We start from the raw sequence: 13,681 nt of genomic DNA on the forward strand, positions 1-13,681 counted from the left end.
ATGTTGTTCCTGCATGATCAGTGCCCCACACAGAGCCTGCTACCAAGCCTACCATTTAACAGAGGTTTATTATTTAAGGAACGGAGATGGAAAGGCTTCTCTGGATACAATTTTGGCGATGAAAGTGTCCCACTCATGAACGTGAGAAAATTGTAATCAGGGTCTCAGGCAAAGATAGAAGCATCAGGAAGATGAGAAAGGGTTGAATCTAACAGTGCACAGCCAGAACTCTAAAAGACTAAAGACCTTTCTGTGACCCAGGACTTACCGTAAACTCCCCTGTGACAGCATCAAAACCGACATGAATTGTGTGTTCAAAATCTGAAGGGAGAGAAATCTCTGGCCGCTCTTTCTCTTTCTTTTTATTTGCTGCAAGAGAAACAGGCAAAAGGAAATAAAAAACAGGAACATTATTGTTTTTAGGCTTATTTTAGCTCTTTATTGAGCTGTAGTCTCCTTGAGAGGGCAAAGTCTATCTATTAATATTTCACATATGTAGAAGAGCTCAGTTACGGATCTGGATTGGAGCAGATACTCAATGCATGTTTAAAGACTTAATTTCTTGTTGAACTAAAGTACGGGAGGTGGCCGGGCACGGTGGTTCATGCCTGTAATCCCAGCACTTTGGGAGGCCAAGGCAGGCAGATTGCTTGAGTCCAGGAGTTCAAGACCAGCCTAGGCAACATGGCAAAACCCTGTCTCTGCAAAAATACAAAAATTAGCTAGACATGGTGGTGCATGCCTGTAATGCCAGCTACTTGTGAAGCTGAGGCAAGAGGATCATTTGAGCCCAGGATGTAGAGGTTGCAGTGAGCTGAGATCACGCCACTGCATTCCAGCCTGGGTGACAGAGTGAGGCCCTGTCTCAAAAAAACAAAAAACAATAAAATAAAGGGAGAGGCAAAAAGATCGTCTGTCAGAGTTAACAGTTCTGGTTTTACCAGTAACTAGCCAGTTGATATAGAGTAAGTCATCTTTTTTGTGAAGCCCTCCTTGATCTCTAGGCTGGGTGGTTCTTTACCCTCTCTGTTCCCACAGCACCCAATATATGTAATAGTAATTGACTATTATAAGTGTTTATCTTCCATACCAGACTGAATTCTAAGTGCAGAGGCCATGTCAAATTAATCACAGCTTCCCAGAGGCTAGCACACACCTGGACAAAGTAGGTGCTCAGACAGTAAGTGAAGAAAGGAAAAAATGACCAGACATTTAACTCAACTGGGCAAGGAGTTTAAAGAATCTGCCTAAGACACAAAAATTCTCTCCAGGGCAGGAATAAATGTTCATTTCAGCAGCTCTGGCCTGACTTTCACAACACTTGTTACCCAGCACCTGTGAACCTTATTTTAAAACCCTGCTGTCTGGGAGCTCAACACACTAACCAAAAGAAATTCTGAAGTTCTAACACCTCCACAGACCCAGCAAAACCCTGATAAAAGGTAGCAAAATGAGAAGGAAAAAACAAAAAGGTCTAGAGTTCAAGCCAGTTTCACCTCTACCTCACCACAGAGTGTGTGTGTGTGTGTGTGTGTGTGTGTGTGTGTGTGTAGAGAGAGAGAGAGAAAGAGAGACCAGGATCTCTGCTTTCTCATCTAAACAAGGGAGAGGATGAGCTAGATGATCTTAAGGGTCCCTCAAGCACCTACATTCTGTGAATCTATGAAAACAAGAAACTATGCTTTCTCAAAGCTCTGCAGTTAAGATTCCTTCCTGAGATGGCATCCCACAGTTTTAAATAGGTATTTCATACATATCATCTAATACAATCACCACAATCCTGAGGTAAGTTTTACTTGTAGATTAGAAAATTTGGGAGCAGACTTGCCTACAATCATTAAGTAATTAAAATCCAAAAAGTCTGGCATCAAAGCCAAGGCTCTTCACATTCTATTTTACCTCCCCTAAAAAATTTCAAGTTGAATCAAGAAAACATACTTCAGTGTAGTAAGAAGAAATGACATTAAGAACTTGCCATGTATACAAACCATGATGTCAATATAGTATTTTTCTTCATTCTTACAATCCTACAAGATAGATATTACTACCGTCATTCTTACAATCCTATGAGATAAATACTACTACTGTCATTTTACAGATGAGGAAACTGAGTAATTTACTCATACAGCTACTGAGAGCTGGGATTTGAACCCAGGTCTGATTCCAAACGTTCATTCTTCAGTATCTTAATGAGAACCATTTGCCTACATGCCAAGTGCTAGGGTTTAAGCTATTTATGCACTTGGCAATTTCCCTCTCAGAAGCAGCTGCTTTGAGAAAGAGAAGGCTAAGGGGTATACCAGGGCCCCAAGTCAAGCAGTCCTTTATGACGTAAGTCCATCTGTCTTTCTCATAGCCAGAATGCACTGGAACATGTGGCAGGGCTTTGGAACTACTTTCTGTTTCTAAATTCCCTCTGATCTAGTCACTTAGGGAAGTACAATTATATTTGTGTTTTATTTCAATTTTTATTTTCTATATCTATGCATGTTTATACATTATTTCTATTATATATAATTGATATACTATATAATACATCACAGGCATGAACTGTCAAATGCATAAGAAACTTTGGTAAAGGAGACCCAAAAAGAAAGTTAGCTCAAAGCATGAGTGGTTTACAGAAAAGAGTTCCAGAGAAATGAAATCATTTAATACATGAACACACAGGGTAATGCTAAAGTCAGCTCTGCTTCTACTGAGCACTCTTTACCCTGCAACCTTTGAATATACCTCACATATTCCCACCTCCAACTTTTTGCTTGCTTTTTCTTCTCCTTGTTTGGAATGCTCTCTTCTCCTTCTCCCTATCTCAGCAATCTTTTAAAGACTGGCTCAGGTCCCACTTTTTCCAGGAAGGATTTCCTGACCTTTCTTCTTCCTGTTAATTCCCAAGACACTGAGTCTGCTACACCACCAAGCATCTAGTCATTTCCTATCTTATATAATTCCTTGCTAGTTTAAAAATCCAAAATGTAAGCTTCTTGAGGACCAAAATTACCACTTCCAATTACAATCCCTGTACTTCTGAATTTCAATACAGCACATGGCTTACTTAGTTGAAGAACACTCTAGAAAATATTAGGGAATGGCCGGGCACGGTGGCTCACGTCTGTAATCCCAGCACTTTGGGAGGCTGAAGCAGGCGGATCACTTGAGGTCAGGAGTTCAAGACCAGCCTGGCCAACATGGTGAAACTCCATCTCTACTAAAAATGCAAAAATTAGCTGGGCGTGGAGACACATGCGTGTAATCCCAGCTACTCAGGAGGCTGAAGCATGAGAATAGCTTGAACCAGGAGGCAGAGGTTGAAGTGAACTGAAATTGTACCACTGCACTCCAGCCTGGGTGACAGAGTGAGGCTGTGTCTCAAAAAAATAAAGAAAGAAAATATTAGGGAGTGACTCTAGAGACCATGATCCCATTCCCTGAGGAAAGAGGCCCAGGGATGTAAGTTGACTTGTCCTGATTCACAGAGCACAGGACTGTAGTCTACCTGATCAAGTCTTTCACTCTTTATTATACCCCTGATCCCTACTGAGATTTGACTGGTATCAACTACTAACTGAAATAACAGTTTAACATAGATTAGACGCGGAGTACAAGAATAGCAATGACTTGGTTGAAGTGGGAGAGGAGAGAAGTAAAAGGAACGGGGAAATCTAGGTGGCAGGATTTAGCTTGGGTACTGTGTAATTTTTTTTTTTTTTTTTTTTGAGACAGAGTCTCACTCTTGTTGCCCAGGCTGGAGTACAATGGCGTGATCTCAGCTCACTGCAACCTCCACCTCCCCGGTTCAAGCAATTCTCCCTGCCTCAGCCTCCCAAGTAGCTGAGATTACAGGCACCCGCCACCATACCCAGTTACTTGTTGTATTTGCAGTAGAGACAGGGTTTCACCATGTTGCCAGGCTGGTCTCGAACTCCTGAACTCGGGTGATCCACCCACCTTGGCCTCCCAAAGTGCTGGTATTACAGGCATGAGCCACCACGCCCGGCCTGGTACTGTGTAATATTTAGACTGAGTATTCACCAGTTGGGGATCACCAGCAGAAAACAGGATTCAAGAGGCAGGAATACAGGAGAGAAATGGAGAAGTCATACAGTCCCAGAGCCACCTGGAACCCAATTAATCCCTTCTTGGAAGTAACAATCATCCCCTTCACCTGTGTACAGCCCTTCACCAAGCTCTGCCAGTCACTGTCTCACTGGCTCATCACCACAAACCCAGGAGCTAAACAGCTGAGGTCAGGGAATTAAAAGAAATTTCTGTTAGTGGAAAGAATCTCAGAGGAAGGATTCAGTATTATTTTTGCCAGTAACTCACTGGGTGACCCAGGGAAAGTCTGAGTTTCAAGTCTTCAATCTGCAAAATAGGACAATGGTGCATGCTCTGTGTACAGAAGAAGGTAAGTAATAAACCACTCTTCTGGAGAAGATAATACCTGAAAGAAGTCATAAAGGATGAACAGGGGTTAGCCAGACCGAGATGGGAAAGGGCATTTCCAAAAGAAACAGAATAAGCAGAGGCCAAAAGAAGTAAGCAGTGTGATCTTTCTTCCATCTTTCCACCTGCTCAGCAAGTCAACCAAATTTCATAAACTCTTACCAGATTCACAAAGCACATGACTGCAGGCAGGAAGGCACTAAGAGCTTCGGACTGAGGGAAGACACAATGGAGAAAATAAAGCAAACCTAGGATCCTGATGGTCCCATATCCCAGGGATATAGTATCCCTGGGACTACTGCTGCAGTTGCAAATTTTTTATGATGACTAGAAGTATGTCTGCAGGAATCTGATGAAAACTTATGTCTACACAAAAACTTGTATGTGAATGTTCACATTAGCTTATTCATAACAGTCAAAAAGTGAAGGCAACCCAAATGTCCCTCAAGTGACGAATAGATAAAATGCAGTACATCCATATACTATTATTCAGCCATGAAGAGAAATGAAGTCCTGATCCATGCTACAACATGGATGAACCTTGAAAACATTATGCTAAGTGAAAGAAGCCAGTCACAAAGGGCAATATACTGTGTAATTCCATTTATATGAAATGTCCAGAATAGGCAAATCCATAGACACAGAGTAGATTAGTGGTTGCCAGGGGAGAAGGGAGAAGTGAGGAACGACTGCAATGAGTATGAGGTTTCTTTCTGGAGTGATGAAAATGTATTGGAATTAGTTGTAATGGTTGTACAATCTTATGAATATACTAAAAACCACGGAATTGTACATTTTAAGATGGTGACTTGTATGGCATGTGAATTATATCTCAATTTTTTAAAAAAAAGTGAATGTAATTTACTATATTAAGAAAATAAAGAAGAAAATATATATAATCAATTCAATTAATGCAGAAAAAAGCATTTGCTGAAATGTGATATCAATCATGATTAGAAACTCTTAGCAAACTAGGATTACAAGGGAATTTACTTAATCTAATAAAAGGTAATTACCAAAAACTGGAGCAAACATTATACTCAATTCTAAAATGCTGAAAGCTTTTCCTGAGATTAAAAACAGGAGAAGGGTATTCCTCCTCACCACTTCTATTCATCATAGTACTGAAGGTATTAACCAGTGCAATTAGGCAAGAAAAAGAAGTAAAAGGAGAAGGATTACAAAGAAAGAAAAAGAACTATTACAATTTACAGATCATGTGCTCATGTACGTGAATACAGAAAACTCAATAGAAAAACCTTCATGTCTCTGAGTAGGTAAAGATTTCAAAAATAGAACCACAAAGCATTAGAAAGGAAATAATTAATAAATTTGACCACATTAAAATTCTATCTCACATCATGCCAAGCATCTGTCTAAGATTACAGGGGAATTTACTTAATCTAATAAAAGCTAAGAGCACAGAAGATATTTGTAACATATATAACTGACAGAAGACTTATATCTAAATAAGGATTCCTACAACGATGTTAAGAATTCTTGGCTGGGCGCAGTGGCCCATGCCTGTAATCCCAGCACTTTGGGCAGCCGTGGCGGGTGAATCACCTGAGGTCAGGAGTTCAAGACCAGCCTGGCCAACATGGTGAAACCCCGCCTCTACTAAAAAATACAAAAATTAGCCAGGCGTGGTGGCAGGTGCCTATAATCCCAGCTACTCGGGAGGCTGAGGCAGGGAGAATTGCTTGAACCCAGGAGGTGGAGGTTGCAGTGAGCTGAGATCGCGCCACTGCACTCTAGCCCGGACAACAGAGCGTGACTGTCTCAAAAAAAAAAGAATTCTTTAAGTTACAGGAAATATATGTGCTTTGTAAACTAAAGAACTTTACAAACATGAGTTGTCATTAATATAAAAAACTGTTAGGTTTCTCAGCCCATTCATTAAGACAGAGAAACTGTGGTTGAGGTGAGAAAGAGGAAAGAATCATCTTGATTTCATGTATCTAGAGATCTTGGGATTGAGAAAATAAAGCGGGAAAAGAAGCTTCCAACCTCACCCATCCCAACTTTAACCCTATCTTTGACCTAGACCACTTGGCTTTCTGATAGCATGGGAAATGAGGCTGACACTGCAAAATCCCATGTCTTGGTATAGCCATCAAAGTTTCAGCACAAATCACTGGCCTTTTTTAAAAAAATGATTTTTAAGCAGCACCTCTCATTGGCTCCACTGAGCTAATCTGAGCTCAAGGCAGTAAAACGTTCCAAACTTGGAGAGATAAACACTGACATAGTCCAATGTTAAAATTAACTTTGCTAAACTCTTCCCAAGCTCAGAGAATTCCACTTTGCTTGTGAAAATGCAGCCAGAAAAAGATTTCAAACTAAATGCTGAAAGACTTCTTAGAATAAACCAAAGGCTCCAGATCCTAACCACAGGAACCAGGCTTTCCCACATGGAATTCTGCAACTCAGCATCACCTATTACAGGCCCTCAATTACAGCTTCTCTTTCCAATCATTTATGCATCCCCCAGGCACATACTGAGGCCATGCTAGAGAGGTCAGCATTAGGTAATGCCCAAAGACATTCTACCCACTGGCAGCTCAAATCTCAACCATTACTACAGCCTACAGATCATTCTTCTTTCTCATCTCCCAAAAATCTCTCTAGAGACCCAAGACAACTCCTCTAGAAATTCTGACTCCAAAGGTCTGGGTGGAATGCAGGTATCAGTATTAATTAATTAATTAATTATTTTTGAGACAGAATTTTGCTCTGTCACCCATGCTGGAGTACAGTGGTGTGATCTCAGCTCACTGCAACCTCTGCCTCCTGGGTTCAAGCAATTCTCCTGCCTCAGCCTTCTGTGTAGCTGGAATTACAGGTGCCCACTACCACGTCCAGCTAATTTTTGTATTTTTAGTAGACACAGGGTTTCACCATGTTGGCCAGGCTAGTCTTGAGCTCCTGGCCTCAAGTGATCCACCCGCCTTGGCCTCCCAAAGTGCTGGGGTTAAAGGTGTGAGCCACCACGCCCAGCCTTTTTTTTTTTTTTTTTGTAATGGAGTTTCACTCTGTTACCCAGGCTGGAGTGCAGTAGCATGATCTTGGCTCACTGCAACCTCTGCCGCCCAGATTCAAGCGATTCTCCTGCCTCAGCCTCCTGAGTAGTTGGGATTACAGGTGCCTGCCACCACAACCGGCTAATTTCTGTATTTTTAGTAGAGACAGGGTTTTGCCATGTTGGCCAGGCTGGTCTAGAACTCCTGACCTCAAGTGATCCGCCCGCCTCGGCCTCCCAAACTTCTGGGGTTACAGGCGTGAGCCACTTGCACCCCGCCCTGTATTTTTTAAAAGCACCATAAGTGAGTCCAACATGTAATCAGGGTTGAGAACAACTAAGAGAGATAGTTATGTTACAATGGAACAGATAATTTAGGAAGACTTAGTTCCATACTCAGCTCTCCCACTTTCCACTTGTGAGACCTTGAGCAACTTACTTTTCTCTAAGCCTTAGCCTCCCCAACTAAAAATGAGTTGTTGTAGGTATCAAATAAAACAATAAATGAGGTTTCCATTTTTAAAAAACAAACCTCCTATTTGTATTGCATTTTAGTTTAGAAAATGCTTTTATATCTACTATGTCAAATGACAAAAGCCTACTAATGATATAGGATGAATGGGAAGTGAGGATATTGGAATGAAATTTAAAAAATAAATCAGAGTTAACAAATGTCAGTGGCTGGACTCAATCTGTGTTATAAGTCCAGTTCCAGACATAACTCTATGCAGCTGGTATAAATGCTCAAATACTACATGAAGGGCATATACCACTTCAAAGACTACCAACACTGCTGTGTATCCTTATAGGACTAAGTTGAGTAGCTTACTGGTTGATCAAAGGCTCCAAACAAAAGAAAAACACCTCAGACTTCTTTCATTTTGATGTATGCATTAGTTATAGCCATCAAGGGTCTTAAAGCAAAGGGATGAAACCTATGTGCCCAGGGCAAATATAGAAAATCTGTAACCAAAGGATGAAAGATAGTTAGATCATTTTGCAAGAACTTCTTATAACTCTGTATGTTTTCTACCTCTATGTTTTCAGCCTGCAGAGATGCAGTTTTGATCTTGAGGCTATGAGATGTATTTTCAGATCAGATTTAGCCTAAGGTTACTTAGATTTAGCCTAGGATTTTCTACAGCTGTATCATTGAATAAAGTACTTTACAATGGCCTAGTTTCTTTTCACCTATATAGACAAGCCTGATCTAACCACGCCTTTGCAACATCACATTTATGTAATTATAGGATTCTATTTTATTTTATTTTGTTTTTTGAGACGGAGTCTCGCTCTGTCGCCCAGGCTGAAGTGCAGTGGCGCAATCTTGGCTCACTGCAAGCTCCGCCTCCTGGGTTCACGCCATTCTCCTGCCTCAGCCTCCCCAGCAGCTGGGACTACAGGCACCCGCCACCACGCCCGGCTTATTTTTTGTATTTCTAGTAGAGACGGGGTTTCACCGTGTTAGCCAGGATGGTCTCCATCTCCTGACCTCGTGATCCACCCGCCTCGGCCTCCCAAAGTGGTGGGATTACAGGCATGAGCCACCGTGCCTGGCCAGTTATAGGATTCTAAAGCTAAAAGAAACTGCACATGCCTACTGCTCTCTCTCCTTTTCTAGATGAAGGCACTGACGTCTACAGAGAAATAATTGACCCAAATCAGACAGCCAATTTATGGAAGAACCAATACTATAATCCCAATATCTAGACCCCCACTTTCCCATTTAGCACATAAGATTGTCCCTCCAGGTTCCAATGATGTCTGAAGGCTCTGCTTCCATCTGCTGTTTCAGACTGGAATCTTCTTTTTTAAAAATCAGCTTTATTGAGATGTAATTCACTTACCAAACAATTCACCCATGAAGTGTAAAATTCAATGGCTTTTAATATATTCAGAGAGCTGGACAGGTATCACCAAAATCAATTTTAGAACATTTCATCACTACAAAAAGAAACCCCACCCCTCTTAGTAATCATCTCCTAGTTTTAATTGCCTCTCCCTCTCTGCAGCCCAAGGCAACCGCTAATCTACTTTCTATCTATGAATTTACCAATGCTGGACATTTCCTACAAATAGAATCATACTATATGTGATCCTTTGTAACTGGCTTCTTTCACTTAACACAGCATTTTCAAGGGTCATCCATGTCATGGCACGGATCAGAACTTCATGTCTTTGTTACCAAATATTTCATTGTATGGATATTCCACATTTTATTATTTATCTATTCATCAGCTGATGGGGTATTTGGGTTGTTTCTGCTTTTTGGCTATTATGAATGCTGCTATAAACATTCATGTACTGCTGGTAACTCTATGTTTAATCTTTTGAGGAACTGCCAGACTGTTTTCCACAGAGGCTGCACCATTTTACATTCCCACCAGCAATTATGAGGGTTGCAATTTCTCCACATCCTCACTAACACTTGTTATTATCTTTTTTATTATAGCCATCCTAGTGAGTGTGAAGTGGTATCTCATTGTGGTTTTGATTTGCATTTCCCTGATGGCTAATGATTTGAGAATCCTTTCATGTGCTTCTTGGCCATTTGTATATGTTCTTTGGAGATATGTCTATTTAGATATTTTGCCCATTTTAAAATTACTTGTCTTTCGGTTGTTGACTTGCAATAGTTCTTCTTCACATATTTTAGATACACATCCATTATAAAATATGTAATTTGGGAAATTTTTCTCCTTTCTGTGTGTTACCTTTTTGCTTTCCGGATGATGCCCTTTGAAACATAAATGTTTTTAGTTTTGATGATGCCTACTGGATGAGAATCTTATTACCTTTCTAGTTTGAGTCAGCAAGAACAATTTAAACTTTTTAATTTAAAAAGTCCTCTTTCACTACATGTAGACACTTGGGCTGAAAGCCTATTTATAGAGATCAAGAACACTGGTTGATAAGATACAATATTAAAAATAAATACACATCTAAATTGAGGGATAAACAAAGTGGCTACATATGTGGAAGAAGACTGCAGGGCATTTAACACTGTCTCAGATCATAGCCCTTGTACCAAGGAAGTTGGCAGCTACTATATGAATGAATTAGTCAGGAAATCAAGGTTAAGCACCTTACCCATATCTTTTATTTTATTTATTTATTTTTTGTGAGATGGAGTTTAGCTCTTGTTGCCTAGGCTGGAGTGCAATGGCGCAACCTTGGCTCACTGCAACCTCCGCCTCCCGGGTTCAAGTGATACTCCCAGCCTCAGCCTCCTGAGTAGCTGGGATTATAGGCGCCTGCCAGCATGCCCAGCTGATTTTTTGTATTTTAGTAGAGATGGGGTTTCACCATGTTGGCCAGGCTGATCTTGAACTTCTGACTTCAGGTGATCCACCCGCCTCAGCCTCCCAAAGTGCTGGGATTACAGGCATGAGCCACCACACCCGGCCTATTTTATTTTTTTAAGACAGGATCTCACTCTGTCACCCAGGCTGGAGTGCAGTGGCATGATCACAGCTCACTGCAGATTCAAATTCCCAGGCTCAAGCAATCCTCCTGCCTCAGCCTCCCAAGCAGCTGTTACTACAGGCACACGCCACCATGCCCGACTCCTTTTTTTTTTTTTTTTTTAGTAGAGACAAGGTCTTCCTATTTTGCCCGGGCTAGTCTCAAACTCCTGAGCTCAAGCAATCCTCCCACCTCGGCCTCCCAAAGTGTTGGGATTACAGGCATGAGCCCCTGTGCCTGGCCTTCTTTTCTACCCAAAGCCACCAAACCCAAAGGGAAGTGAAGGTGAAGTAGAAGGACTCATACACATAACGATATAAGCCCAATGTACTCATTAAAAGTCCTTATTATTTCTCATTTCACTTGTACGACATTTACAATACATGAGATCTGCTTATAAGACATATCTATATAAAGACACTACAAATGCAATGTGTCCAAAATAATCATCTTCCCTGCTCTCCAATCACCAACACTCCTAATTTGTTCCTTCTTTCTATGTTCCCTATTGGGCTAATGACACTACCATCTACCATCTCCCCTGATCCGTAGTTAGGCAATTATATTTTTCTACAACATGAGATATTTTCCGCAATCTACCATTGTGCTTGTTGTATCTGCCCTACTGTTTCAGAATCTCAGTTCTGATTTTACCATGTAGTCTACCAGCTATGCCTCCCAGTTTCTATTCATCAACAAAGGAGTAAAGAGACAGAGACAAAGGAGTAAAGAGACAGAGAACTAACATTCAAATACCTTCTGTGTGGAAGGTACTCTATTAGGAACTTTGTATGTAGTCTTCACAACAACCCTGTGAAATGATATCTCACTTTTAAAATAGGAAACTAAATAAAGGTCAAAGCAGTTAACTGACATGCCTAAGATCAGAAAGCTGGTAAGTGGTGACCCAGCTCCATCTAAACCAGAAGCTCATGGTAACTACTTACACACAGAAAGCCAGTATCTTTAGCATGCCATAAGAACAGGGCCCACAAATATAAGGAGAACTTTACTTCAGAGCAACAGCCACTTAAATCAACATTTTTGGTACCAAACAAAAGTCATCTTTTGTTGTGGACACCAAAACCTTTATTTTACAACCTTGTCTACGAGGATCTTGGTGACTTTTTCATATACACTATTAAATCAACAGTGTTAAAATCAGTGTTAAAATCACCACTATTCATCATATGATTACTCTTCTATTAACAGAAGTTTTATCAATAAAAAGGAAATGAGGCTGCCCAGGATAATTTATTCATAGTAAACTCATGCTGAATGCTAGTTATCTCTGCATCCTTTTCTCAGCTGTTACTTGCCATTCTTACTGATACGTAGTCCCCAAACCTGAAAGTGGGACCAGGAAGCTGGAATAAAGAAAAGGCAATCAAGATTTTGGAAAGAAAACATTTCCAATTGAAACTAACTCGGGGGGAAAAAAATTCCAAATAAAGACATTTCAATTTTTCTTACATTTTGTGGCTTCATAAACAGTTTAAGAATTTAAAAATAAATAAATCACTTCAGATTGTCCCAAATCTGGCAAGAGCATAATTATTCTCTTACAGTTTTGCTCAGATATAGTTAATAGAGTATAAAAATAGGTCTATTTTCCATTTTGCTTCAGCCACTGTAGGGAGAAAGGGAAATATTTAACCAGAAAGAAAACATTAAAGGAAAATTAAGTCAAAGACAACAGATCTTTTATCCAGGTTACCCAAAATAATTTTTTTAAAGCATATAAATGATGAGAAGAAAATCAAATACTATACTTTTATCTCCAGGTAAAATGGATCGGTAAAATCGGTCCTTCTTTTTCTTCTCCTCTGGGTTTGGAGGCAGAGGTTTAGAACCATGGTTTAGGGTTCCAGCATCTTTGCTGCCGGCTCCAATCATAGTGCTGGTATTTCTCATCGGAGGGGCTGGGGGTTTGTCTTGAATGTCTAGGCCGTTATTTGACATTGTCACCACCAGCAGCAGCTACTAGAATCAGAAATAAGAACAATATAACTCTTTTATTATTTTTGACCAAAAGGAAATACATGTTAAAAAATTGCAAAGAATCAAAATTATACAGCCCTTCCTTCAGGGTCTAGCTCAAGTCCTTCCACTGCACACCATGATATTGCTAACACTCACTGATGTAAATGCCTACTATATGCCAAGCACTAATGAAAAATCACAATATCTTGCTTTTCTTTGCATTCCCATTCTGAGACATTGCAAAGCACGGAAAACCATTATGATGTAGTTGAAAGCAGAAATTTGGCCTAGCAAAAACTAAGTGTGAATCCCAGTACCACTTACTAACTTTAGAGAAATTCTTCAACCTCTTAGGTTTCATTTATTCATCTATGTGAAGATTAAATAAAACTGCTAACAGCATTCCACATAGTGAGTTCTCTGCCAACCTCTAATTTTATAACCTTAGACAAGTTACACTTTCCCTCTTGGGAATGGACTGTATCAAGGGTCAGGAAAGCTGCTGTTTTTGTAGATAGTTTTATTGGAACACAGCCACACCCATTCATTTATAAATTGTCTATGGCTTTTTTTTTTTACCTGATGCTGGCAGAGTTCAGTAGTTGCAACAGAGATTGTATGTCCACAAACTTACATTATTTACTATCTTGCCCTTTACAGCAAAAGTTTGCTAACCCCTGAGACTATATAATCTCTCCAGTGTTTCCCTCCTCTGAAATTCTACCTTGTTCTTTAAAAAAAAAAAGAGAGAGAGAGAGAGAGAGA

General features: G+C 40.3%; 1 protein-coding gene across 50 annotated transcripts in view; it reads right to left on the reverse strand.

The window, feature by feature from the left end:
- PAK1 (p21 (RAC1) activated kinase 1) overlaps positions 1 to 13,681 on the reverse strand; it is a 207,993-nt gene that overhangs the window by 57,609 nt on the left and 136,703 nt on the right. For 34 of the 50 annotated variants that reach the window (NR_164798.1, XM_024448560.2, XM_047427054.1 and 31 more), the window contains 2 exons: positions 12,706 to 12,916; positions 269 to 369 (listed from right to left, as the gene is read on the reverse strand). The exons of 1 other annotated variant lie outside the window; for it this stretch is intronic. Coding sequence is in view for 45 of the 49 variants with exons in the window: in XM_024448560.2 (XP_024304328.1) it covers positions 269 to 369; positions 12,706 to 12,895 (291 nt within the window). In the remaining 4 variants the exon portion in view is untranslated. The remainder of the gene's footprint in view (positions 1 to 268; positions 370 to 12,705; positions 12,917 to 13,681) is intronic. 15 more of the 50 variants (NR_164797.1, NM_001376273.1, NM_001376268.1 and 12 more) reach the window with 3 other exon arrangements.

Source organism: Homo sapiens, chromosome 11 (assembly GCF_000001405.40).
Source record: "Homo sapiens chromosome 11, GRCh38.p14 Primary Assembly".
Lineage (NCBI taxonomy): Eukaryota > Metazoa > Chordata > Mammalia > Primates > Hominidae > Homo > Homo sapiens.